Source organism: Homo sapiens, chromosome 1, assembly GCF_000001405.40.
Source record: "Homo sapiens chromosome 1, GRCh38.p14 Primary Assembly".
NCBI classification, from domain to species: domain Eukaryota; kingdom Metazoa; phylum Chordata; class Mammalia; order Primates; family Hominidae; genus Homo; species Homo sapiens.
Window position 1 is genome coordinate 159,927,035 of NC_000001.11, and position 26,827 is coordinate 159,953,861.

The 26,827-nt window shown below is 54.1% G+C and overlaps 2 protein-coding genes and 1 long non-coding RNA gene across 7 annotated transcripts in view, besides 4 other annotated features; 1 reads left to right on the forward strand and 2 right to left on the reverse strand.

Moving 5' to 3' along the window:
- Positions 1-6: 6 nt before the first annotated feature.
- IGSF9 (immunoglobulin superfamily member 9) lies at positions 7-18,579 on the reverse strand. Of its 2 annotated transcripts, none has more exons than NM_020789.4 (21): positions 18,539-18,579; positions 16,363-16,594; positions 15,929-16,117; positions 10,652-10,804; positions 9,720-9,874; positions 9,365-9,482; positions 7,647-7,788; positions 7,391-7,536; positions 7,156-7,250; positions 5,478-5,618; positions 4,778-4,894; positions 4,419-4,569; positions 4,104-4,227; positions 3,658-3,833; positions 3,155-3,405; positions 2,857-2,941; positions 2,604-2,780; positions 2,317-2,359; positions 1,124-1,984; positions 726-853; positions 7-492 (listed from the first exon to the last, which is right to left on the reverse strand). In NM_020789.4, the coding sequence occupies exons 2-21, from the start codon at positions 16,418-16,420 to the stop codon at positions 311-313; spliced, it is 3,492 nt and encodes a 1,163-aa protein (NP_065840.2). In that variant the 5' UTR covers positions 16,421-16,594; positions 18,539-18,579; the 3' UTR covers positions 7-310. The 2 variants fall into 2 exon arrangements, with proteins under 2 accessions (NP_065840.2, NP_001128522.1); NM_001135050.2 differs by having other exon boundaries at positions 7,156-7,298.
- Positions 7,944-8,444: an enhancer, noted in NCBI's record as "H3K4me1 hESC enhancer chr1:159904768-159905268 (GRCh37/hg19 assembly coordinates)". NCBI's record gives its function as "activates a minimal SCP1, AML or CMV promoter by ChIP-STARR-seq in naive H9 embryonic stem cells {active_cell/tissue: H9 hESC(naive)}" and the evidence as "EXISTENCE:reporter gene assay evidence [ECO:0000049][PMID:30033119]".
- Positions 14,335-26,628, forward strand: LOC124904438 (uncharacterized). Its single transcript, XR_007066684.1, has 3 exons — positions 14,335-14,412; positions 19,118-19,418; positions 26,543-26,628. It is a non-coding gene; the product is annotated as an uncharacterized LOC124904438 (long non-coding RNA).
- Positions 18,565-18,859: a silencer, noted in NCBI's record as "tiled region #11999; HepG2 Repressive DNase unmatched - State 4:PromP". NCBI's record gives its function as "represses a minimal TATA promoter and a strong SV40 promoter by Sharpr-MPRA in HepG2 cells {active_cell/tissue: HepG2}" and the evidence as "EXISTENCE:reporter gene assay evidence [ECO:0000049][PMID:27701403]".
- Positions 18,565-19,202: a biological region, named in NCBI's record as "Sharpr-MPRA regulatory region 11999".
- Positions 18,702-19,202: an enhancer, noted in NCBI's record as "H3K4me1 hESC enhancer chr1:159915526-159916026 (GRCh37/hg19 assembly coordinates)". NCBI's record gives its function as "activates a minimal SCP1, AML or CMV promoter by ChIP-STARR-seq in naive H9 embryonic stem cells {active_cell/tissue: H9 hESC(naive)}" and the evidence as "EXISTENCE:reporter gene assay evidence [ECO:0000049][PMID:30033119]".
- SLAMF9 (SLAM family member 9) overlaps positions 24,458-26,827 on the reverse strand; it is a 32,493-nt gene continuing 30,123 nt past the window's right edge. For 2 of the 4 annotated variants that reach the window (XM_017002756.2, NM_033438.4), the window contains 3 exons: positions 26,275-26,619; positions 25,228-25,500; positions 24,458-24,832 (listed from right to left, as the gene is read on the reverse strand). In XM_017002756.2, coding sequence (XP_016858245.1) covers positions 24,627-24,832; positions 25,228-25,500; positions 26,275-26,619 — 824 coding nt within the window. In that variant the 3' untranslated portion in view covers positions 24,458-24,626. The remainder of the gene's footprint in view (positions 24,833-25,227; positions 25,501-26,274; positions 26,620-26,827) is intronic. The other 2 variants (NM_001146173.2, NM_001146172.2) reach the window with 2 other exon arrangements.

Genomic DNA, 26,827 nt, shown 5'->3' on the forward strand with positions numbered 1-26,827 from the left:
GAAACATCTTTCAAACTTTGTTTATTCACCTGTAAAAAACTTCACACACACACACACACACACAGAGAGAGAGAGAGAGAGAGAGAGAGAGAGAGAGGCAGACCTAAGATCCCTGTTCCAATCCCCAGACTCACCTAGGGGGTCAGCACATACATTCCATACCAAGGTGACCCAAACCCACTATCAGGGTCTGTGCCTGGGCACCAAAGGGGCAGGCAGGGGCAGTGCCCTCGTTTGAAACTAGGTCTGTCTGGTTGGGGGCCTCCTTTGCAGGTCCATATGCCTTTTCACAGCCTCACATCAGGGATGTTCACAGCAGAGTGGCCTGTTCGGGGTGGGGGACTGGCTGTCGATAGGCTGGTAGCCGAGCCCTAGTAGCATCTCGGCGGCGGCGGAAGGCCAGGAATTCCTCCCGAAGGGCAGCACAGCGGGCCTCAGGGCCAGTAACATGGGCAGTGTTCAGGAGGCAGCCCTCCTCTGGAGTCTTCACACCTGCAAGAGGCGGGCAGGACAATGAGAAGAAGCCCTGAGGTTCACTGAGTGAAGAGCTCAGATGTGAAGCTCGCTAGGCCCTTCCAGTACAGATGGCCCAAGGGGGCAAGGCACAGTCTAGAGCAGAGGAGCCTGGGAGGCAGGGCCTGACTGGGAATAGATGGGTCCTAAGGTGGCGGGGGGATGTGGGACAGTATGGCCGAGATGCCTGCCTTTCCGGGGGGCTCACACACCTAGCTCTGGCTCAGCTTCAGGTCTGAGCCGGGAGCTGGCCAAGCCCAGGTGCAAAGTCTCCAGCAATTCCATGTCCCCAGGGAATTCTGAGTCCCACTCATAGTTCTCGTCCACAGATGTGTTCCTCCTGTAAAAAAAAAAAAAAAGACAAACATATGGTGTGGGTGGAGGAATAGAGGCTGTTCAGAAAAGTCTGAATTCAGCGACCGCAAACTCACGTTAGGTCATGGGTTTCCCCTGAAAAATCCCTGGACCTCAGCAAAAGCTTCTAAAAGGGACAAGTTTTCCCGTTCCCAGGGTGGGAGTGGAGCAGAGAAGGTGCAGGGTATTGGGAGAGGGGTGAGAGGTCTGGGGTGGGACTGAGGCGGAGGCAGGGATGGGCAGGGACTGCTCTCACCTCTTGCTGACTGTCACCACATGCTCCCTTCGGGGCCATCTCTCAGGGCCACTGGCCCAGCTGCTGGTGTCTCCTGGAGCAGGGCTGAGGTAGCTGCCTCCTGCAGAGGGGGCTGTGGAGGGGGGCCGCAGGAACGAAGCGCTGCCTCGCCCACTGCTCTGGCTGGTGAGGCTGCCTCGAGGGGCAGCAGGGAGAAGGCCTGGCAGCAGCCGCTCCCTCAGTGTCCAGTCAGCCAGGGCTGTGTAAGGGGGCTCTGCAGTGGCCCCAGCCCCTACCACAGCCCCAGGAAGTGATTCCCTGGGGGATACAGGAGGGGTTTCTGGAGAACGAAGGAAAGATGAGGTGGGACAGCGCCGGGTATCCATGTAATCTGGGGGTGCAGCAGGGCTGGGCTCCTCAAGCGGGGGCCAGTCCCCATCCACATTCATCTCTCGGAAGAAGGGCAGGCTCAGGTACTGGAGCAGGGGTCCAGGACCTGGCAAGGGACTGGGTGGGGCTGCTGGAGGGGGTGCCACAGGGCTGATGTCTTCAATGCAGAGGGGCTGGGGTGCCCCACTGGGGCTGCTGCTGCTACAGTCAAAGGACCGGGCCAGACGCTGGGCTGGAGTCCGAGGTTCTGCCTGCTCCCGGCCTGACCTTTCCTGGGGGGCCGCCACAGTGGGCCCCATCACAAAGCGCCCGTCTGGGCCCCGGCAAATGGGCTCCAGAGGTAAGGGTCCCCGGCTAGATGGAGGATCCGGGTGGGGGCTGGGAGTTCCGGCAGGATCCCCCCAGAGCAGACTCTGGCGCAGGCTGGGGACTGGGGATCCCTGGAGCTTCAGCTTCGCCACGCTGTCAGGACTGCCTGAGCCCAGAGCAGAGCTGGGGAAGGACAGGAGATCAGGGTCTGTGGTAGGGGCAGGTCCCCCTCCCAGGAGCCAGCGTCAGGCCTTGAGAGGTTTGGTGAACAACAGAGCAGAGCTAGGAAGAACAAGCGAGGAAAGGACCAACAAGGTGGAGGGGTGGAGGGAAGGCACAGGCCATACTGGAACGGCCTCAGGCTGGGGCCACTGCACACCCCTTCTTACCCTCTCCCACTTTTGTTCCTCCCCAACACCCAACATCCCCCTGGTAAAGATGCAAAAAAGGAAGCAGAAGATACTGGCACGTACAATGGAAAGGCAGAAGAAAGCCAAGGAGGTGGAGGCACTTACGGTGCAGCTGACTTCCCGGTCGGAGAGAAGATAAGAGGTGGATCTGGAAGGGCATGAGAATAGTAGGTGACACAGGCAAAAATCAAGGCCCTCTAGGCGGAGACTCTCTCACCCAACACCAGGCGCCCAACCCCATCCGGCTGGGAAAAGCGTAGGCAGGACCAGATGCAGGACTAAGAGAATGCACCTGGATCACACAGGAGCGAGGGCTTTTCCCCCAGGTAGGAGGGGCTTAAGGAGGCTAGGCCCAAGTGCGCAGTAGCAGGGCTGAGGGTGGAGGGACTTACCTTGGCGGAGGCGCTTGCGGCGGCGGCGGGCAGCCCTGCGCCGGTTCAGGAGGCAGCCGGCCAGGATGCTCACAAGGACGGCCACTCCCAGAAAGCAGACTCCGCCCACCACGCCGGCCAGCACGGGCTGAGGCAGGAGGCCCGGCAGCTGCGTGCGCGAAGGGTAGACCTCCAGACCTAGGCAGGGGTCCACGAGGGAGGGTCAGTGGACTCGGAGCAGCCCTGGGGCTCCTCCCTCACGCCAGGTGCTCACCGGAAGTGGAGACGTTGGCCGTGTTGCTGGGGTCGCTGACGAAGCTGCCCGCGAAGGCCACGAGGCGGAACTCGTAGAGAACATCCTGCGATGGGGATGGGGTACCAGGAGGGAGGTCAGGGCCCAGCACCGCCCAACCCAGCGGGGCGCGGAAAGACCGTGCACGTGGGACGGAAGGGTGAGGTAGGACGCAGAGGTGAAGAGCTCAAATCAAGATGAGAAGATAGAGTTTGGGGAATGGAGAAGGACGCAGGAGAGCCCCTAGGAGGCCTCTCTCTGTATCGCCTTTCGCACATACCTTGATGAGGCCTGGCACCAGCAGCTCTGTTTCTGTGCCTGCCACAGCCGGGTCCAGCACCTCCCAGCCCTGGGAGCCTTGCCGGCCTTCCAAGACGTAGCCATCCAGTCTCTTAGGGACCAGCTCTGGGGGATCCCAATGCAGGAGTACCCCCCGGGGTGTCCTCACTGCCACCAGACCCCGCGGAGGGGACAGGGGAGGCGGTATCTCTGTTGGGGGAAGCCCGGGTGCAGCTGGCGTGGTAGGAAGCCCTGCGTGGGACAGAAAGGCAGGTCAGAGCAAGGATTCCCAGCGCCCCTCCCCTGGCCTTCCACAACTCCCAGTGCCCAACTCTTCTCCCAGAACCCCTGAAGACAAGCTCAAATCATCTTCCACACACCCCTCTGGACCCCAAGCTGGCCAGCACCTCTGCCCCTTCCCACCCAGGGCCTCCCATATCCCAGCTCTCCCAGCAGCCCTTCCCCATCCTTGTCTCTGCTGTTCTGGGACGAGAAGCTTCTCACCTTCCGGAGCAGACAAGACGATTTCGCTGAAGGGACCACTCCCCAGCTTGTTCTGAGCTAGCACGCTGAACTGGTACTGGGTGTGGGGCTGCAGCCCTGGCACTAGGAGGTGAGCAGCCCCCACAGGCACTGCCAAGGACACCCAGTCATGGTGCATTCGGTCAGGACGCTTGGCCCTGGGAGACATGAGGACATGGGGGGCACCTCGTGAGCTAGGAAGACCAGAAGATCTGGGGTCCAGAGATCTAACCACCTCCCCTCTGCTCAACCATCCAAGGTCTCAGGACCTTGGCCCTGAATGCCTCAGAATCTGGAAACAGGGAAGCAGAGCCAGGACTGGTGAGGGATAGAGGGACAGAAGAAAGGGCAGAAGGCCAGATAGGTTCAAGGAGGAGAGGAAAGGAGGCAAGATTGGCACAGAGAAATGGCAGGAGCAGGTCACTCACAGTGGGGTGTACCAGACACTGAATCTCTGCAGATAACCACCATCAAAGCCAGGCTCCCAGGAGACATTGGCACCCTTGGGCAAAGCCACCACGGACACATTGGTGACAACATGAGGGCTAGTGCCTAGGCAGGGGGGAATGGAGGGATGGTGGTCAGGGCCTGAGGGAGTGTACAGAGTAGCAGGGGCCCCAGGGCCACTGACCTTCACCCATCATCATCCCAGGGGTCCCACACCCATGATCCTCTTTCTGGGCCTCCAAAAACGATTCCCAAGTAGTTTCTCCCAGCCCCTGGCCCTCTCTCCAGCCACTAACCCAGCACGTAGACGTTCGTGGAGGTGGCCACTCGGGCCACAGCATTGCTGGCACTGCATTCCCAGTGCCCGTGGGCCTCCTTGGTCAATGGTCGCAGGATGAGGCTGCTGTTGCTGTCCACCTGGGCCTGGCCTTGCAGCCCCCGGCCCACCTACAGAACCACTGGTGAGCCCTGAGGACACACGCAGCCACCCCTCACCAAAGGCGCCCCTCATCTCTCCAGGCAGCTCCAGTTCCTCCCCACCCTGCCTCTGACAGCCTTCTCCTTCCCACACCCTCCCTCCCACAAAATGGCTGGGGCACGAGAGGCAGGGGTGTAGTGGGCGTGGGTACAGGCAGAGCGGGCTCAGGAGCCTTACCTTGGTCCAAGAGACAACAGGAGGAGGGTCCCCTTGGGCGGAGCAGGGGATGAGCAGCTCCCGCCCTACTTCTTGGAAATATTCTTCCTTGGGCCGCTCTATAAAAGCTGGGGGAGCCTGCAAGCCAGATCTGGCATTGGGAGGGGCCCTCTCTTACATCTAAGGCTGGCTACTCCCTCTCTCTGTGCTCCCTGTCATGCCATGTCTCACCTCACTCTCCCTCACTCCCCCTAGCTAAACACTCACCAAGCCTGTCTCTACCTCATTCTCTCTCCATCTCTCAATTCCTCTCTGGCTCTGTTTCTGTTCCCCAGTGGGTAGGGGCTGGAGGAAAATGGTGGTGTAGTAAGGGCTGGCAGGCTTAGGCAGGACTCTCAGAGATGTACAAACCTCTGCAGAACATTCTTCCTCCCAGAGCCCCAGAGAGGGAGGCAGCACGGTCAAGGTTAGTGAGAGTTGGGGCAAACAGGATATCTTACTTCTGGATGTGTGTGACTGATGTCCCACCTCCCGAGCACCACCTCTGCAGAAACCTCTGGGATGGCATCAGGCAGCTGCTGCCGTGGCCACCATGGGAAACAAACTTGGAAACCCCTCCCCATGTGTCTGCCCCACCCCACCCCCATCAGCCTGGCCTTAGCACCATCTCCAGCCATCTGACCCACTGTCACCACAGGCCCCCGCCCACCCCCGGCCTAACCTTGAGCAGCACGCGGGTCACAGGAGAGGGCCCGGCGGTACCAAGACTGTTGTAGGGGGTGCAGGAGTATTCTCCCAGGGCATCCTCGTTCCCCAGGGCGATGATCAGTGAGCCTTCTGTGCCCTGGGACCAGCCAGGGAACTGGAAGGAAGAGAAGATGACAGCTAGAGAGAGGAGCTCAGCAGAGACAAGCCCGGGATGGCAGTACAAGAGAGGGGGCAGGATGAGAAACCCACAGCTGTGCAGAAGACTCCAGCAGCTCCATGTCTAGGCCTGACCCCTCTCTGATTTCCAGTGCTTCCTTTCCTTCCTGCAGAGGGACCCCTCCCAATAGTGTGAGGCTGTGACTGCACAACTCCAGGGGGTGCCACTCACAGAAAATACACTGTGAATGGCCACCCCTGTAGTTGGGCCGCGTGGGGCTTCCTGCCTGCTGGGACTTCACCTGGCTCTCTTCCCAGCACTCCACAACTAAGTTCAGAGTCTTCCACCCAAAACCAGCTCCTATTTCTCTATTAAAGGGCCCGCCATCCTTCTTGCTGAAGTCTGCCTCCTCACGTTCCCTCACTCCCCCTGGTGAAATACTCACTAAGCCAGTCATCCTGGGAAGTCCCTTTTGTCAGAGCATGAGCCCATTCATCTTCATGTCCTCTGTAAATCAGACTCCATAACTCTCACCTGGGCCATTTCAGCAGCTTCAGAACCCCTCTTCCTATGTCCAGTATCTCCCGCTACATTCCACTGGGCAAGCTCAACCCCTGATCACAGCTCTGATCCTATCACACCAATGCTCAACAAATTCCAGTGGCTCCAACTGCCTGTAGACTTTTTTCTTAAATATTCAACAAAGATATACTGAGTACTATTGTTGTAGAAGCCCCAGGTACACTATGATGAAAAGATGCAATACTAGGCCTCAAAAATTTATAGTCTCTGCAGACAAAAGATCCCAATTGCCTTGGAATGAGGCAATAGTAACTTGGCATCCAGTTCTTCCTTTTGATGCTAACCTGTCTTTCCAGCTTTCTCTGCACCATTCATGTCCCTGCAGGCACTCCGGCTCCCACCCAATTGGACGATCCATGATTCCATAAACGTACTATACTACTTCCTGCCTCTTGACCCTGGTTTCTGCAAGGGAATGACTGTGTCCTCTTTGAGGCCCATCACCAAAGTCCCAGAATCTGTTGCTGGTCTATCCTCAACCACCCTAAGAGGAAGGCACGAGCTCCATCCCTGGCCTTCCAGACAGTGTTGCTGTCCTCTGCCCAGATGGTGCCCACTTTAAGGATGGATGCCTCCTTGCCCCTGCCCTCAACCCACTACCCCACACAGCACCTGGTAAGAAGTGTGTGTTCCCCCGGGACACACAATTTCCCAGTCATCACACGAAAGAAACTTCAGTTCTCCTTCTTGACTCTTTGCCATCATTTTCCCCAGAGATCATCTCTCTTCTTTCCCCAAAGAAGACACAAAACCACCACTTTAAACCATGGAAATTTTTCCTCAGGGGTTTTAAGTAGTTTCCTATGCAACATGTCTTATAACACAAATTAAATTCACAAAAGATGTGTGTCCCCAGTCACTGAACTGAATTAAACCGAGCTAACTCCACCCTGCTGTCCTGAGCAGAATAACGCCAAGCTAAGACCCTCCTTCCCCTGCCCCAAGCCTGTACCTTGTCCAGCTGCAGGGCCTTTCCATCCTTGGTCCAGCTGACAAAGAGCAGTGGGGGGTTGGCACGAACCGGGCAGCGGATCACCCCCGGCATGCCTATGGGCAGGGGTGTCTCAGGAGGCATAGCTGTCACCTGGGCTGGGTCTGGGGGAAAGTAGTGGCAAGTTGGGGGAGAGGGGCTTGGCCTGGCCCAGGGGAAGGGAGCAGGCTGAGGGAGAAGCTGGGGTCAGGCTTACAGAGCACAGTGAGGTAGGCAGAGGCTGAGGGTGGATGCAGGAGGCCATTGCTGGGCACACAGGTGTAGCAGCCGGCATCATCAGGCTGGGTGGCCAGCAGCCGCAGGCTCCCGTCCACCAGGATCCGCACCCGGGGCTGCAGGCGGCTGCAATGTGGCATGTGTGAGGAGGGGTCCAGGCCTTGCCCAGCCAAGCGGCTCTTCAGAGACTGTTTGTGAATTCCCCACCTCCACCTTCCTAATGAGGGTGACCCCACCTAATGTGGAAGACATTGATGTTGTCCTGGAACCAGCTGTAGGTGAGGTTAGCAGGGTATGCCTCAGCATGGCAGGCCAATGAAACATCCTGGGAGGCATTGACTGTGCTGTTCTTGGGGGGCACCACGATGACTGGGGGTCCTGTGGGATGCACAAGGGGAGGAAGGTGGCCTCAGCCCACAGTCTTCCCAGAACCCTGAGGTCACCTCTACAACTCTTCCCAGCTCTGCTCTCTGGAATCTTAGGGCTCGTTGTTACAGGGCTTTGGGGAGTGGAAGCAGAAGCTTCCCCCTGTATGTAACAAGAATTCATCCTCTCCCTGAGACCCATTCTTCTTTCCAAATTCTCTCTGTTCCATCAAGAGCAACTCCATTCATGCAGTTCCACTGCCTAGGAATGGTGTGTGTGTTTGGGGGAGTCAGTTTAACTCTGCTCATTTACCATTTGTATCCCTGCTTGTCACCTCTTGAATTACTTCTCTGTCTCTGGCCCTAACCCAGGTGCCCAATACCTCACCTCAAGATGCTGCAGCAGCCCCTGACTCCAGGCTCCCCTGCAGCTGCCACTCTAATGGCCATTCATACAGAAACAGCCCCTTGAGCCACAGAACACTTCTGCTCAGGAACCTGCAACAGCACCTGGCTCCTACTACACTAAGCTCAAACCCAGCCCTGTGGACCCCTGCGATCCAAACCCTCCCTACGTGGCCAGCCATCTTTCCATATGTCAGCCCTCATGAACTCTTTCAGGTCAGTATGGGCAGCTGGCTGTCCCCCATCTCCATGCCTTTGCTCCCTGCACCCCCGGTCTGGAATGCCCCTCCCAAGGGCCTGGCCGCGCCACATACCTCCTGCAAAAGCACCTCTGGCTACTACAGTTCCACTACTCCTTCCCCTCTCTGGGCCGGTACCGCATGAGCAGTCAGTAAGAAGAGGTCATGATGCGAGCTGACACAACAGAGCACTGACTGCATGCGGGACACTGAGTGCTAAGCACTTTACCTGCACGACCTCGTTTAATCCTCACCAAAAGCTTTGTGGTGGGAATTGTCTCCATTTTCTAGATGAAGAAGTGAAGGCTCAGAGGCAGAGAGATTGTGAGGTGATTGCCCAAGGACAGCAGGAGAGGCAACATTCATATTAGGCTTCCTGATGCCACAGACGACACCTTTAACCATTACCCGGCACTGCCTTTCTTACAGTACCACGGACAGCAACACTTCCCTGTTTCCCCAATTAGTCTCACTTCCCCACAAAGATAATAGGCTCTATGAAGGCACAGTCCAGGCCTTCTGCTTCTCAGTTTCCCTTCTAAAGGAAGGATCTTGGCCAGGAATTACCATGTGCCAGTGACTGGGCTCAGCTGCACCTAAGTAAATTCTTGTAACACACCTGAGAGGTAGAGATGAGTCTCTTTATAAAGATGAAGAAACTGGGACTCAAGGAGTTAACTGGCTCACAGCCTAACACAAGCACCCATGTCCTTTCCACTATAACACACTACTGGGCACTAAGATCGCTTTGTCTGCTTACTGAGCCTTTTAAAATTAAGGTGCTGGTTTCAGAGCAACAGCCTGCATTGGGAACCCCCTTAGCTTCCACGGGCCCTGCCCTCAGGCACAAATCTCCCTCCTATCTTGCTGTGAACCAATTCAGCCACAGGTCACAGCCCCCTTGCATAGGTAACCCTGGACCCCAGCCCTCCCGCCAGAGAGCACCTAGCACTAGCAGCTGGGTGGCGTGGGTGGCGCTGCCCTCAGTGCTGGAGGCTTGGCAGGTGTAGACCCCAGAGCTGCCTCGCTCTACCCGGCGGATCCGCAGCGTCCCGTTCTGCACCTAGGGAAGGAGTGGGTGAGGAAGAGTCCTTTCCCCTGCCAGCCTCAGATCCTGCACTTCCGAGTTTGGCCAGCAGAGGGAGGCAGCACCCCAGGCTCGGGGCAAACAATGCCAAGCCCTTCTTCTGGCCCATCCTCCAGCCTGGCCTTTGCCTCCTCTGTCCTCTGGCCCCACTGCCAGGCCCCCACCTTCCCTTCACACTCTATATGGCTCACTCTGTCCACCCCCAGGACTCACTTGCACCTGGCCCTGGCCCTGGCCAAGGTCCTTTCCTCGGAGCTTCCACGTCACATGAGGCAGGGGGCTGCCACGGGCCACACAACGCAGGGTCACAGGCTCCAGTTCCTGCACTTCCAACACAGCAGGAGGTGTCTCCTGGAATTGAGGGGGTGCTGCAAGGGAGACAGGCATCAGGGGCCCCAGTGGGGCTGTCAGCCCAAAAAGCAGTGTCCAAGGGCCAGGGAGACCACTCAGGGCTCCAGCCTGCTGCCCACCCACCAGCCCTGCCTCATAGGAGTCCTCAGCCCAGGGCCACCCTGTCTACTGCACCCAGGCCAAATGAGGATTCTGTCAACCCACCCCCACACACTGGCCTGGGGCTGAACCCAGGTTGGATGTCCAGAGCCTGGGGGAGAGCCAAGCCCCCTCAGGAGGAGCACTGTTCTGGGAGTGAGGAGGCCTGGGTCCTAGACTCTGCTCTGCCACTAATCAGTGGCATGACTCAGCCTCACCTATGCAATGGGAATGATTATGACCTCCTTCCTACTTAGGAGTGAGAGATAAATAATAAGGGCTTGGGTGAAAAGGTATTTTGAAAACACAAGGTGCTATATATATGTGAGCTGTGTTTCACTCAGGGCCCAAGAGCCCCTCTCTCCCACCCACTTCCCTGGCCAGGGAAGCAGGAGGGAAGAGAAAGAGGGAGTTCCTGACACCGAGCCTAGAAGGCTGATTGAATTTATATTTGAAGAACTGAAAAGGGCAGGAGTGTGGGGGAGGGGTGAGATGCAACTACTAAGTGAGCAAACAAGGGCTCTCAGGAAGGGTGGGGCATCAGAGCTGTTTGTGGGATGGAAATAGAACTCCCTCTTCCCCTTTCTCCCACCAGCCAGAGATCCCCATCCTCCTCCTCCCCGTCCTTCTCCACCACCTGCCCCCCAGCTTCATACAATTGACTGTCAGATGCACCCAGGAGCCGTTAGCAAAATCGTCTTCAGGGATGTGCTGGTCCAGGAAGAACACGCGGCACTCGTACCAGCCCTGGTCTTCCACCCGGAGACCCTCAATCTGGAGAGAGGCCCCCTTCTGCAGCCGGACTCGTCCTGGGGGAGGAGCCCTGAATCAAGGGTGCTGAAGGAACCCCATGGAAGCCCCAGTCCCCTGGTCACACTGGTAATTCTTAGAGGTAAGAACAGGCTCAGTCTCTCCCAGTTACTCTGAGTGTGGGGTCCAGAGAGACGCAGATGAGGTTGGGGTCATTCAGGACAGGTCCCTCCATTCGGCCCCTCTGACCACTCTTGCCATTCGACAGCTGGGACCCTGTCTAGACAAAGAGAAACCTAGGGGGACAGCAGGTGGACAAAACCTTCCCCTGAACTGCACTCGGTGTCTAGGACTGTTGGGGAAGGAAGTGAAGAGCCAGCATGTAGTCTCCTCTGGACTCTTACAGGATCTGTCCACCTCTGGGCTCTTTATGTAGGGGAAGGTGTGAGCTCCTGGGAGTACTCCTGATAGAGGACTGTTTCCCTGAAAACCTCAGCAGTGTTTGAGGCCCTAGCAGGGGGAACCCAGACCCCGCCTGCCAAAGCCCCTAATCCCTCAGGGCTATTATCAGCAGCCTAAGCGCCTTAGGGTGGCCAGAGTCCAGCCCAGCAAGCAGCAAAGTCAGCAGCCTCCTCGCCCTATCCTCTCCATGCCCCGGGGCACTCCAGTCCCAGCTGGCTGATCACATACACTTCCACAAAGCCACACAACCACAGCACAACCAGACACCTCAATCCCACTCTTAGTCAGCATCCACACCACACTGCCAGGCTCAGACCGAGGGTGCCTACCCAAGCCCTCAGCACCCTCCCTGGATGCAACTATGCACCCCAGACAGCTTCATGGGTCCCTGGCAGTGTAGCCTCGTGATACAAGCACACACTTGGGAGCCAGATAGACCTAGGCATGAGTCCAGCTCGACTGTGTACTCTTTTGGGCAAGTTACTTAACCTCTCTCAATTTCAGTTTCCTCATCTGTAAAAAGAAGAGAAAGAAACAAAATTGGGGTGGGGTGGAGGAGAGAAATAATGTAGGGAAGGCATGTAGCATGGTGCCTGGCATCAGTGGATGCTCAAATAAAAGTTGTTGAACAAATAAATGAGCTCTAGATTTGAAATCAGAAAGCTGCACTCAAGTCCTGACCCTGTCCCTAAACTGATCACACGTCACCTTCCTTTTCTCTTCCTGCACCACCACACACCAAGTCACCTTATCAGGAACCTGGCATCTCCTAGATTCCTCGATTACCTCCCATATCTACTTGCTCATTAGGTTTTTCAAATCCTACCTCCTAAACATTTCCCCTTCTCTGCTGTCCTCACCTTTACACCTGTGGCATGTCTCACCTGGGTTTCTCCAACAGCCTACTTGCCAGTCTCCCTGCCTCCAGCCTCCTCCCCTCTACATCACATTGCTCATCCCCACCTTGACCTCTGCTATGAACAAATGGAGCTTTCTTTTTTTTTAGAGACAGGGTCTCACTCTGTTGCCCAGGTGGAGTACAGTGGTTTGATTGTAGCTCACTGCAGCCTCGAACTCCTGGCCTCAATCGATCCTCTTGCCTCAGCCTCTCAAGTAGCTAGTAGTACAAGCACGTGTCACCATGCCTGGCTAATTGTTTAATTTTTGAAGAGAGGGGTCTTGCTATGTTGCCCAGGCTGGTTTCAAACTCATGGCCTCAAGGGATCCTCCTGCCTCAGCCTCCCAAAGCGCTGGGATTAAGCTGTGAGTCACTGTGCCTGGCTGCATTTTCTTAATCTTATGTTGTTTGCAAATGCAGCTCCAAGTCCCTTTGCATAGTGTCCACTCCAGCTCTTCCTAATGCTAGAAATTCTGAAGCTGTGAAAGTGCTCAGCCCCTCCAGTTTGCTTCCATTCTACCTCTAGAGTGATCTGTTTCAGAAATAAGAAAATCTATTTCAGAAAGAAGAGAAGGATCAAGTTGAGGCAGGCTTTGTGATCTTAGCCAAGAGTCTTTTTCTACTTAGAATGAGTTCCAGGGTGTGGATTCTCTAGGATGGGTGGACCTGCTTAAAGGGCTAGGTGTTGAAATCCCCACCCCGGAGATAAGACTAGGCCCAGCGGGTAAATATTTAACATCATCATACCCTTCCACCCACTGTCAGGATTCCTCAAGAAAGCTAATCTGCCTGGCCGCTAAGCCCTGCAGACCCCAGACTGCAACCTCTTCTGTGTCCCACATGATACTTTTCATTATAGCTCTACAAAGAAGGAAGAAGAGGGAAGGAAGATTGAGTGTGGAATACAGGCCATCTAATATTAGGCGTTGTCACCATATTTAATCCTCCCAAGAATTCCATTGTAGCTGAAGGAATTAATGTTAAGTTTCTTTCCAAAATCACATGGCTAGTAAGTGACAAAGCCAGGCTTCTTTCTCCAGACGCGGCGTGCTTTCCATGGACACGGGTGTTAGGACCGAGTGCTGTTCAGGGCACTGGGGGTAATCTATGTATTCTCACTTGGGAGATGCTGGTAGCCAATGGGTAACAGTCCAAATGTTACTCAGAATATCCAAAGAAGCATACTGCATGTCCTAGCTTTTCTGTGACAGCTGGACTGCTAGACCTGTAGTGTTACAGAACAGGAAGATCGCCAGCAGGGCAGCCCTGAGTCCTCCTGAGTCCTGGGCCCACCTCCTGGAGGCCTCCCTCCACCTGCAGGGCTAAAGCCTGTTGACTTCAGATCTTCCCATATGCAGCGGCGTGTGAAGAAAACAGGAGACACAGTCTCTGCTCTCTTAAGCTCTCGGAAGGCAGGGAACCCACAGTCACCTAAATGGGCAAGTTCACGTCCACACATCCACAAAGAAGTTCAAAAAATGGTGCTAACTGCGCCCAGACATTGCACTATGAAGCAAGAGGAGTAAGGAAGGCTTCTGGGAAGCTGTGACTGGGCAGAGGATTAAGAATAAAAGGTGGTGAGGGGAGGTGACTAGAGCAAGCAGGGGAGTTCTAAGTGGAGAACGAGGTCACTGATTTTTATCAAACAACTCAGGGCAGAGAAAAAAATGCACATCCCTTCTGCTGTGTGGGGCATCTTGAAAATCCCAAGAAATACAGCACAAAAGCCCATCCTGCCATTTTAATGAGTTGGTCTAAGACCCACCTTAGGAAAGCTGGTGTCCACTAAGCCTAACCTTCCTTCCCTCCAGAGGCCTGGTCATGGGTTCACACCACACAGGCACTGTGCAGGCACAGGCTGGGGCGCTTTACACACAGCAGCTAACTGAATCCTCCTCTTTAGTCCTAGCTTGTTTTATATTGCTTTCACTCCATGGCATCGTTGATAAATCCAGTCTCCTCTACTAGATGCTTCTAGAGTCCTCAAAGATGGGAAGCCTTCCCTTCTGTGTGGTCCCTAATCCAACAGTCTCTCTCAGGGTTCCGCACACATTCTAGGCCACCAGCCCCACAACAGTCCCCGACCCATCTCCCCTTCACTGCCCAGAGGGCTTATGACAGAAGAGCATTGTCCTTAGCAACCTCTACCTCCTGTTGCTTAGCAACTGCAGTTCCGAGTCCCCTACACAAAGGCTGAGAGGCCCCTTCCACACTGTGAGGCAGTAAAAGGGTTAATGGGCTCAGGGGCCTCCCTCAGGTCCCAACTCCCTCAGCCGGCTCTGGCCTGACCAAGAGCTCCAGACGGAGGTAGGGGTGTGAACAAAGGATAGGAGCAGACAGTAAGTCCCAGAGGCTACTGCTCACAGCCCCTGTAGCTCAAGCAACAGCACAGACAGAAGACCCACAGGTAGACAAAGTTGCTAACCATCCAGTGGCTTCAGGCCTGAGGGACCTCAAGGCAGGACACAAGCTGGAGAGAAGGAAGAGCTTCAAGTCTCCCTGGTGGAGTCCCAGGAAAAGCCCCTCCCTCTTCCACCTCCCCTTGCCTTGCCCTCAGTCAGGCAACATTATGAATCTGTCCAGCCTCAGCCCGGCAGCCCGAGACCCCTCCCAGGCCTGGGCAGGCGGAGGCAGGGAGGGAGGGCTGGTGGGCACAGCCGTTTTTTTCTCCACTGGTGCTAATTGGGGCCCGCTTTCATCCATTCCCACAGGGCTTGTGTAGACACATACACTCCCACCAGGCTGTTTGCCAATAACTGCCCCCAGTTTGAAAAGAAACTTCCCTTCTGCATCACCTGCCTGCACCTCCTCCCCTCTCTGCTCAGCCCGCCCTGTGGCAAGGCTCAGCCAATCCCGGGGTTTCCCTCAGGATTCAAACTAAAGAGGGAAAAGGTGGGGGTCTCCCCATCAACATCCTCCCAGGTGGCCTTTCCTGGGTCTCCCCTCTGAAGAGGAGGCAACAAGACTCTCTCTCGCCCCATAGCCCAGACCTGTCCTTAGGGCCTCCTGCAGACTGCCCTCTGAGACCTGGCACTAAACCGCTTAGATTAAGGCTCCATCCGGGATTAGGAGGAAGCAGAGCCATTGTAGCCATTCTAGGGAGCCAGCTGGGGTGCAGCAGAAGGCGCCCAGGGAGGCTACACACGATTTTAAGTCCCAACAGGTGCCACCTAAAGCAGCAACCCAGGCCAGCCCCATCCAGTCACTGACCTTTGGGGATCCTGGGCCCTCCCCAGCCACCCTCTCTGTACACCTGTGCTTCTCTACTCAGAAGCAGACTGAGTGTCCCTGGAAAAGCAGAGAGGTCACAGCCGCACCTACCCTGCTGCCCCATCAGCCCACTCCCTAGAAGACTTGAACCCCTGAACTAGCATTTAAGACGATGAGGAAGGGGGAGAGCGCAGAGGAGTGAGCAGATAGTAGAGCCAGGACCAAGGCAGGGCCAAGAGGGGAGACTACAGATCAGGATGAAGTCTGGGAGGTTTCATGATGAGATGTAGAAAAAGCAGTTACAGAATTAGAATGGATATTTGGAATAGGGCTGCAGGATCTCCTTTGGAACAGACCACGTGGAGTCCTAAATAGCACAGCTATAAGAGTGTGAGTGTGTGTGTGTGTGTGTGTGTGTGTAAATGAATGAATCTTTCAATGAATTAACACTGCTTGGGAGCACAGCCATGCTTATTAAGCAGAGTTAAGGCAGCAGAGCTGGAGATGAGATCAGAGCAGGGACAAAGCCGTTCATAGGAGGCCTTGTGCGACTCTACCCAGCCCACCTTTCTTGCTGATACCTCCCTACCTCCCACCTGAGGAGAACTCTTACCCACGTAATCAGGGTCAATTCGGGGAGAGTAGAGGCCGAACTGGATGAAGATGGGAAGCAGGAATCCAAAGCGCAGCCACTCGATGACATGCAGGGGGGGCCGGCCGGCCGGGGGCAGCAGGTCACAGCCCAGCACCACACTCTCCCCAGCCCGGCCCACCACCGATACCACCTCAGGCTTCCCTCGACCTGCATGATGGGTGGCATGAGGGCACAACGGGGGGCTAGGGTCAGTGCTGGGAGGGGGAGTGCCATCAGTATCTCTGTAGGCACCTTAGGACTTTGGGTGACTGGAGAAACCCCCAGTTCAGCTTCTCCAGAACCAGCCCTATTCCTCCCCTGCCCTCACATGCTCAAAGAGGAACCCTTGAGGAACACCCCCATACCCACCCCAAGGCTAACAGGGCATTCTTGAGCCCAAGAGCTCAGCTTACCGTCAGCCCCCTGGCTGATGACCAGGCTGAGGACGGCCAGGCCGAGGCACCACACCATAGCCCAGCTGGCCTGCTCACCCAGCCCCTCCTATCCACAGGAGCCCAGATGGAGGGGCCAAGGGATGTCCTTCTGATCAGCTCAGGGAACAGGTTTCAGCTCTCACTCTTCTGTACAGTGAGGGCTTGGCTCATGTAACACCCGAGGAAGCTGCTCTCCGGAGAACCACCAGATCTAAATGAAAAGTACAAGGCAACATGCAGAGTTGGCCAATACTGGAGCCCAGAAGAAACCCCACCATTAGAGAAAGGCACTGGGAAGAGAAAGGAGGGAGGAGTGTAGTTAAGTGAGGGGTAGGGGGAAGGGGGGGATCTTGAAGCCCTGGGGAGTAAGAGCAGGGGTAGGAGTACTGGGAGAATGGTGAGTGCTGAATGCAGATACTAGAAAGGTGAGGAAATGGGGGAGGCTGGGAGAGTTGGGAAGGTCTTAGGAAATGTGGAAGGATTCTGGGGATGCCTGCATTCTGAGGGTCTTGAAAAACTAAGCCAGAAGAGAACTGGGGTTCCTCATATGCTTGGAAAAATATTTTTGAAGGAAGTATGGTAGATCAAGACTCTCATGGCCTAGGCTGCTCTCGCTTCTTTCCTTACTCTTGATGCTCACAAGGTATAGCAGCAAGATGGAACCAGTGCTGTCGCCTTCACCCCTCTGTGACAAATAAGGGCCCTGAGGATATCTGCTCAGGGGCAGAGAGCCAGTCAAGGGCAAATCCAGGGCGCTTAAGCCTCAGAAAGTGGTCCCCAGGACACCCCGATACAATCCCTTGTCCCATTTCCCCAGCCTCTATGAAAAACTCTGGAAGCTGAGGACCCGAGGCCTTTCTCCATTCAGTCTCCCTACACTGCTTTGGCAGTGAGTGAGTCAGGCACTTGGGAGAGGAGGAGCTGCCTCCCCCACCTGCCAGTATGGGGGATCCAGGCAGCATCCTCCAGGTCTGGACAGGTCCCGGGGCTGGCAGCTGGCGCCACTTCCTCACGATACTGCCAAGCAGCCCTCCCCCTGCCAGGCACCACCACCCAAGGACCTCACCCAAATCCCTCCCACTCACTCCCCTCCAATATCTTCGGGGTGCCAGGGTTTGTCAAGCTCTTTCTTCCCCAACCCCAGAGGCATGGTCCAAAAAAAAGCCTGTGAGTCCCTGAAGTGTACAAAATTAACCCTGGGGCATGGAGGGTAGGAGCTTCTGACAGCCCCACAGATCCTAGGGCAGTCTCAGAGAGCCAGAGGGTCCATGCCAGGGCCTGGCACTGCCAAGTGGACTCTGCTCTGAGTCCTCCAACCCACTCTTGGCCGCAAAGTTCAGGACAGACTATAAAACATCCTCCACAGAGTCTGATCCTTGCCTCTACTTAATGATCCTGTATGTCTAACTTCTGGCAATTCACTAGCAACCAAGCCCCCTGTTTCCCACTGCCTCCAGGCAGCTCTCCCACACTTCCCTGAAAAACCTTTTTCCAAGTATATAGGAACCCCCTAGTTCTCTCCTGGTTGTTTTCCGAGACTCTGAGTAACTAGGCATCCCTAGAATTCCTCCCAGTCTCTTAATATCTTTCCAACTCCCCCGGCCTCCACTATTTCCTCACCCTTCTAGTCTCCCCACACACCACTCCCTCGTCCTCCCATTACTCCCTTCCCAGTTATCGCTACTACGCACAATCCCCCCACAATTCCAGCTTCTCGCACCTGATCTCCAATTGCAGCAGGTCTCCTGCACTATAAAGAACTCCCTTCTGGTCTCCCCACCCCCCAGCCACTTCTCCCCATCCTCTCCTCCCGATAATTCCCCTCCCTGGGATTCTCCTGCATCAGCCCACAATACAATTCTGATACCCCACCCCCAACAATTCCTTTCTCCCTCGCATTCTCTGGTCCCCTGGAACTCCTCCTTTCTCTTAGAACCCACCAAGAACTCCCCCACATTGCCTCCAGAACTCCTGCAGTTCTCCGGGAACTCCCACCCACCCGCCAAGAATTCCACTTCACTCCCCAGAACTCCCCTAGTTCTACTCCTGCAACGAATTCCACTTCTCTCTAGAACTCCCCGCTTTCTCCTGTCCCCCATAACTCCGCACTACCAGCACCACCACTTCTATACCTCCAGTACGCCCCCTCCCTCACCTGCTCCGCACCGCTCGGCTCCACTCTCGCCGCTACACAATAGGGGGCGGACCCGCCTCCCCGCCTCGGATGCCCCGAGCGCCTCCCGTCGCCCTGGAGACCGCCAATCCCCCTCCCGCGGCGGCCAATTGGAGCCGCCAGAGGCACGGCGAGGCGGGCGGGACCCCTGAGCGGCCTGGGAGTTGTAGTTTCAGGAGGGAAGAGCTCGGCTGCACGTGGGCTCAGGTCGCCCCCTCGTGGACCTCTGCACAGCCAAGCGTGGAAAGGCCGGTGGGCCGCTTCCCGCCGCCAGCAAGAGGGGCAGCAGGGTCCGGCTCGCGCTCCAGGGCTGCGGGAGCTGGCCCCTTGCCAGGCTACTGGTACGCCGTCCTTCTTTCGGAACCTACGGGCGACCCTCTCCGCTCCCCGAACGGGCGCGCCACAGAGGCGGCAGCGAGGGTTGAAATCTGAGCCTGGGGGTAGGAGAACCAGGCGGGGAGCATGACTCCCCGCCCTCCTCCCAGGGGATCCACCCAGGTCCCGGGCTCATCCGATCTCCTCCCCCATCCCCATTTCTACCTCCACCCATTGCTTCTCTAGCAGGACTGGAAATACCTGTCTGCATTGGCGAGCTCCCAAATCTTGCCCAGGCGCCTCCCACCGTGTGCAGCTGAGGAAGGCTGTGCTCTGAGCGTGGGGTTGCCAAGTCAGCTCCCAAGGCAGCTCTGGCACCAACGACCCAGAGAAACAGGCCCAGAGGGGAGAAACGACAGATATCCTGACACGGGAGATTGAAAGGGAGGAATGAAATACAAGATCACTTACTGGACCCATGCAGGGTGCCAGACCCTGGACTAGATGCTTTATAACTCTTGTGTAACCTTCACAGAAACCCTGCGAAGTAAGTAGAGCTCCCTTTGACTAATGAGAAAACTGAGGCTCAGGGAGATGAAGTAACTTGGCCCAAGCTTTCCCAACTAGGTTATGGCAGAGCTGGATTGAGACCCAACCCAAACTTCATCAAACCTACTCCCTTGGAGGCTTCGCCCTCAGACACAAAGATATCTTGCATATCTTGCCCCTCAGAGATTCCACCTCCTCAGCCTGGTGATGCTGTAGGGATGCTGGGTCGGCTTAAGCAACATTGCCTGTCCAGGTCCTTCCCATTCAGTTGGCTCCCTTGGAAGCCTTCCATGAAAGCAACGTGCTGATCTCATCCCAATCCGAAGTACTAAGACTCAAACTGAGTGCACCAGGCATCAGACTCACAGAATCACTGCTGCAGCATCATGAGAGAACCTCCAGGATGGGCCTAAGCACTACTTGGCCCCAGAATCCCTGGCACATCATTTCTCCATGTAGTCATCCAAGCCCCTATCTCATTACATCCTGGGCCAGGAAGCTCAGCACTACTGTTGTACCCATTCCATCCTTAGTAAGCTCTGCCTGCTGGACAGTTCTTCCAGGTGTAAAGGTTTTAGTGCTTTTGGGTGACTGAGATGGAAGGGAAGAGGCAGGAGCAGTGGGCCAGTCTCTCCCACCATCCCTCCTGCAAATAGTCCCAAAGTAGCAGCTTTTCAACAATGCATTTCAACATAATACCCTGATCTATTGATAAGACTATAATGGAAACATGTTAATGAATGCAGCATGGAAGCAAGGCTAGAAGAAATGGTAAAAGAGTGAAGCGGGTTTTTTGTTTGTTTGTTTTTTTGTTTTGACAGAGTCTCACTCTATCGCCCAGGCTGGAGTGCAGTGGTGCAATCTCGGCTCACTGCAACCTCCACCTCCCGGGTTCAAGCGATTCTCCTGCTTCAGCCTCCCAAGCAGCTGTGATTACAGGCGGCCACCACCATGCCTGGCTAATTTTTGTATTTTTAGTAGAGATGGGGTTTCACCATCTTGACCAGGCTGGTCTTGAACTCCTGACCTCATGATCCACCCACCTCGGCCTCCCAAAATGCTGGGATTACAGGTGTGAGCCACTGCCCCCGGCCGAGCCAAGTGTTTTTTAGTCTTTGGATCTTTACCAATCATTGGGAAGGATCTCCCTCCCCGCTGTTAGAATTGGCCACACCTTTGATCTAAACTGCTGTCTCCAGTGGTTTCTTGAGGATAAACTAATCTCATTTAGACATTAAAATAACTTTCTGTTAAATGACATTTAAAATGGTTTTCAATTTTTAAAAGTTTATGATATGGCCTTTTTTTTCTGGAAACTTATTTTGTGACTTTTATTGTTATTGCCATTTTTTGTCTGATTTATATGTATATTGGAGATTTTTTGTTAAGAAAAGGAACCTAGCCCTATAACTTGTTCCCTCACTGTGCCAGGAGTGAAAGCTGATTTAAAAAATAGTCCCTGAGGTTCAAAACAAAAGACTTTCCTCTAGGTTGTCCTTGATTCATAGTCATTACTCTCTGGGAAAGCTTATTCAACCAACGAGGATTCCACCTAACCTAAGTATCAGGCAGCCCCCATATTTTCAAATTGCTGACAAGGATATCAGAAAATATTCTCTCTCTCCCCCTCCTCCTCCTCCTCCTCTTCTTCCTCCTTCTTCTCCTTCTCCTGCTTTCTTCTTTCCTCTTTCCTCCTCCTCCTCCTTCTCCTCCTCCTCCTCTGCTGCTGCTTTTCCTCCTCCTCCTCCTCCTCCTCCTCCTCCTTCTCCTTCTTCTTCTTTTCTCTCTCTGTCTCTCTCTCTGTCTCTCAGAGCTGGGGTATTCTCCTCCTCTTGCCTTTGAACATCAAAACTCCAGGCTCTCCAGACTTGGGACTGTGAGTTATACCATTGGCCTCCCTGGTTGTGAGGCTTTTGGAGTTGGACTGAGCCACACTTTTGCCATCCCAGGGCCTTCTTTGTGCATGTTGTAGGACTTGGCCTCCACCATCATGTAAGCCAATTCCCCTAATAAATCCCATCTCATATTTCTATATCTGTATCTATCTATCTTATTGGTTCTGTCTTCCTGGTGTATACCTAATATTTCAGCAGGCCTTGGGAAGAAAGGACCTGAGCTGCTCCATAGCCCTGCACAAAGAAGATGGTGTGACCTCAGAGATGTCTGCTTGGCATCGTTAAGCACAGGTGTTCCTAATCAGCAAAGTTTCTCATTGTCTATAGATAAGCAGAGAATTACTTGATATCAAATGAACCCTGAAAGGTGGAACACATGGGCTTTTAGTAGTGACCACATTTGATGTGTTAACATTGCTTGTACCAATTAAGCACCACATAACTATCCCATATTCTAGAATAGAAAGGGTGGCTTTAATAATCGATAATAGGGATGTTGTTAATCAGGCATATATTAAGTTATATCTGAGTTAAAAAAGAAAAGAAAAGATTGTCATCCAGGGACTCTGTTGACCACATGCCTGTAAGCAGCAGTCTTATTACCAGATCCGTAAAGAAGTGCGGTTTCTCATATATTGTCATTTAACTTTTTGTGTGCCTATCTTCTATCCCAATGAAACACTTAGCCCCACAAGGGTGTGGATATTGTCCTGTTTGTCTTTGAATTCCTGCTTCAGAAAGGCCCTGCTTACTTTTCCAGCCTGGTTTCTCACTTATCCCTTTATCGCAGTGTGCATGACTTTGCAGGCCTTAGAACTACTGTGCTCTTTCACATACCAGTGTCTTAGCACTTAGCTTCTGTCTCGATAGAATGCCCTTTTCTCCTTTCCAGACTCACTGCTGGCCACAGGTCAAATTTCTGTTGATCTGTTCCCTTCAGGACACATTCCGTGACTTTTCCCACCACGCCCTCACCTTCACCCCAGCCCTTTTCCTACCTTGTTATTGTATCTTTACACACTCCACAAAACATTCCTTGAAGGCAGAGGTGTCTCTTCTGCCTCCCCAGTGCTTGCCAAGTTCCTGGCATATTGCAGAGGTAGCGGCTTGTGCCTCTCTGAGTTTATATTCAACTTTCTTTAAGATCTCATCCTTCCTCTTCCAGAAGCTCGGCCTCTTTTGAGGCCTCAACCCTTCTCTGCTCAGAGATCGGCTGTAAGAAGAAGGAACTTTGCCAACTTCCAGGGAAATCCCTGGGCCTATCATACATTCATTCCTTTATTTATTCATCCTTTTGTTTACTTTCTATGAATTCAATCCTGCAATAACATGAGAAATGAGCTGCCTCTTTATGTGCAAGATGGACTCAAGGTGGCCTTTCCAGTCAGTCCCCATCCCTGCAGTGGTGCCTCCTAGGAAAGATATAAAAGGAATCAAAGGGATTGGGGGCTGCTGGCCTTTTTTGGAAGCAAGACTGCTCAGGGCCTAAGGGAAGCCCAGAGAACCAGCCTCAAGAAGGGACTGCCTTCCAGAGGGACAAGGGTTCAGGCCCTCAGAAAGTAGAGGGGACCAGTTTACCAGCACTAGGAGCTCTTGGGGCTGGTTTCCCAACCTTACTACCTCCTTCCCAAGCCCCAAGGGGCTCCATCTCCTGCACAAATACCTAGGGAGACCCCTACTCTTGGCTTCCAGCCCTGCCCCACGCCGCTCTCAAGACTCTCCTCCTGGGTGGTCCTGTGCCAGCCCATGTGTTCTACTTTCCTAAAAGGAAGGTATCCTTGGTCTCATTGGTTGCCCAGTTGAATGCATTCCACTGACCCCTGCACATACTTCTTGTTCCTTTTTTAGAAGATACTTTGGAGATCAGCATCCTCCCCCTCAAAAACAAAGAGGAAGAAGAGACCCACAGCAATGTTAGGCATGCCTCCTGCCATGCGGCCCTCTCCCCACCCTTCAGACACCTCTTCTGAAACTCCCCAGGGCCCCCAACCCACCCTGTCTCTGTGGCACCAAGTCGCTTGCCTAACTGTGTCTCTGTAGGAGCTCCAAGCTGCCTCTCTGCCTGCTTCTCTCTTCCAGTGTGCACTTCTTGGAGAAAGAGGCTGTGGCTCAATGGAAGTTTGCTGAACACAGGGTCACAGGCCAGAGGCGAGTAGCAGATCAAAGCCCAGAGCTCCAAAATGTCACCTAGGCTCCCAGCCATACATCACAGCCTTCACCACTTCCTGCAATTCACCCACTGCGTACACCTGTCCTGTCAATTGGGTGTTTTCTAATTCTCTCCCCAGTCCTCGCTTCCCCCTAACCCCCTGCCCCATGGCAACTGCATAAGTAACATCCACAAGATCTGATTTGGAGGGAATACTAGAGACTTGGGCAGGGACACATTAGGCCTGGGAGGCTGATCATTGGTCTAGGGAAAGAGCAAGAACATAAACTTAAGGGCCTTTGCCAGGGAGTTGGGGGTGGGCATTAACCCAGGACAAGACTCCAAAGAGAAGGCCTAAGACATGGAAATCTATAGGCAGGGACACAGGCAGGACAGTAATACTAATCACAAGCAGAAGTCAAGGCTCCACGATCTCGGCTAATAATCCAGCATCCCTATGGGGTAGACGCCAGAGGCCCAGAGCAACTGGCATCAGGGAGATGACGGAGAGGTTGCGAGCTCAACTCAGACCCAGGGTAGGTCTGAATGAGGTCCTTCCTACCTCCCTATTTAGGAGAGCTTCTAGACTAGTCTGGGATGGATGGAGTTGTTAAGCAAATGTATCTGCCAGGATGAGAGTGGGGTAAGGGAGCAGAAGAATCTTAACAGGAATAAGGCCACTTTTATGCAGGATTCAAAATGCCTGAAATTCTCAAGTCACAGGTTCAGTTAGGTTCAAAGAAATCTCTCACATTTCTTATCTGATGAACAAATAGCAAGCATGTTGGTGGAAAACGGGATAGGTGGTGAGTGACAGCATACCAAAACTTCCCTGTGAGGGGGCCCTTTAGACCCACTCTTCTCCCCAAAGGAGGGCCTGAAAAAGCACGTGGACTTGGGGGAAGGCACTGGGAGTTGGGGCAAAGACAGCAGAGTGGGTTTTGCCAGAGCCACCCAGTGAGGACGGAAGGACCCAACACAGCTCCTGCAGAGTTGTGGTCACTTAATTTGACTTTATTGCCAGCCAGTCTTCCCTCAGAAGTATGGCTCTCTGGATACCCACCCCTGAGCACCTCCTTCCCCTGGAAAGAAGAGAGCTGAGGAAGGATTCTCTGGGTGCTGGGAAGAAACCAAGCTCAGGACTGGGGTTCCCAAGGAGCAGTCAGGCAGGGCTGGAGCCAGGCTTTGCCTCCTTCCTCAATTTCATTCTGTTTCTCATGAGTTTCTTCATCCTTGGCATTTTGTGTCTTTTCTGGACTCGGATGACCCAGAGTCCCATGGCCAGAATTACCAAGAGCAAGAAGATGAGCAATCCCTTGGCCAGGAGGCAGAAGGCTGTTGAAGGCTTCTCAGAAGCATAGTTAGGATCTGGGGTGGAAGAAAGGAGGAAAGGGCCCATCAGTGGTAGGGTTGGGGTTAAGATTTGGGCAGACTCCTACCCAAATTTCATGAAGGGGTCTCAAGTTCACAATCAGTTGAAGTCCCCTTGCAAGTGTCTCTGGAAATATATTCTATGCACAGAAGCTCAGGAACTGAGATCTAGGAATCATTCTGAAGCCAAGCAAGAGAAAAGAAAAGACCTTTGGAAGTTGGGGGCACTAGAAAAACGGAGGGTCTCCTCTCCAATCCAGGTGTCAAGCCTCCATGGGAGGGGGTTAGCTTCTGAATTCCCTGGGCTCTCTTGGGAAGAGCTGGGGGAGGGAGATGGTGCCTCTAGGCACTATCTTTCATGAGCTCAGGGGGTGTCTCAGGGGTTCTGGTACCTGCATAGAAGGGCCCATCAGGGATGGGGCAAGAACTGACGTTGCTGATGGGGTTGTTGGCTCTGCAGGTGTAGGAGAGGGCACTGTCCCCCGGCCTCCAGGATGTGCTGAGGACAGGGCCTTCATGGAATGTATAAGTGCTATCCCCCCGGGAGAGCCAGCTGTAGGTCATATCCATGCCTGCCTTCTCCACAGAGCACACCAGGGACATACTGCAGGCACCTTCCCCAGAACTCTCAAAGTTCACAGTGATCTGGGGCTCTGACAGCCATCCTGGATGAAGGGGAAACACAAAGACCCTCTAAACAATCAGGGATCGGGTCTGTTTTCCTAAGCTCCTCAAACCTGGGGTACTAATGCTACCCCTTGACAGCCCCTGCACCTAAACAACAAATAGGCAAAAGCAAACAAACCCAACCACCATAAAACCTGTGGTTTCAAGGTCCCCAAGGCAACTGTCAAGGAAGACAGAGCTGCCTTTGGCATCTTCCACCTCCCCTTTACGTATTCTCTCTCTTACTTTTGTACTCTACCTTCCTCCAAACCCCATTCTGTCTCCTTGATCCCATGAAATATTATCGCCCCTCTCAGGGGCATTTACATTTTAATCAGTGTCCCTTCAAGCTTCAAGGTAGATGCAGTGTGACAGACACTAAGAAGAAATTTGGGTTCAAGTAAAGAGAAGATACTCATTAGTAGCCCTCATCACACAGGGAAATAAAAGGCTCAAGAATGTAGGTGGTGTTCATCCCCAGAACACAATTTCACTGGAAGAGAAAAGCCCCCTACAGGATCTGTACATGAAGCCCCTGATCCCTGCCACTGCATCGGACAGCCTCCTTGCTCCAGGTCACTCCGCCTGTTGCTGCGGTTCAGATACAACAGGTGGATTGGGCACACTCAATCACAGTATCTAGATTGGAGACAGTCTGCCTCCAGTTCTAGCCCCTCAAACCATAACCCCAAGTCCTGAGACGCCCACTCCATGGTGTGAGAAGCTCAGAAGAGCCCCCAAAACCAGCTTTATGGTTCCCAGCCTAAACTCACGGTAGACACATATATTGTACTGCTGCATGGTAGAGATCTGGGATGTTCTCAGGTTGACTTGAGCTTGGTAAAGCCCTGAATCCTCCCAGCTCAGATTGCTGATATGCAGGGAATAGCTGGGGTCCAGGAAGCTCACTTGGCCCTGGTAGTGTGGATTGGTCACCATGATGGTAGCTGGATGTCCCTCTTTCCCTGGCACCACAGTGGCAAGACTTTTGTGAGAGGACCAGATGATGTTCTCAACCTCTTCATCTGGTGGTATTTCCAGGGGGAGGCTGATGGACTCCTGAAGGACCGCAACCACTTCCTCGGATCCACACCATCTCCAGAGTCTCCTTTGGCTGCCTATGCAGGAAGAAAAGAGAAGCAAACAACCCAGCTGCTGTCTCTGGGCTGCTGAACCTGGCAGTGGAGCTGCCAGAGTAGCGTAATCTCAGCTGGGCAGCTTCTATGACTCTCACACTAAATCCTGTTCTCCAGCTGCTGCTTCTGACTCTAGATTTCCCCTTTCCCTGAGTTAAGCACCTAAAAGGAGTTTGCTTCCATCTGTCCC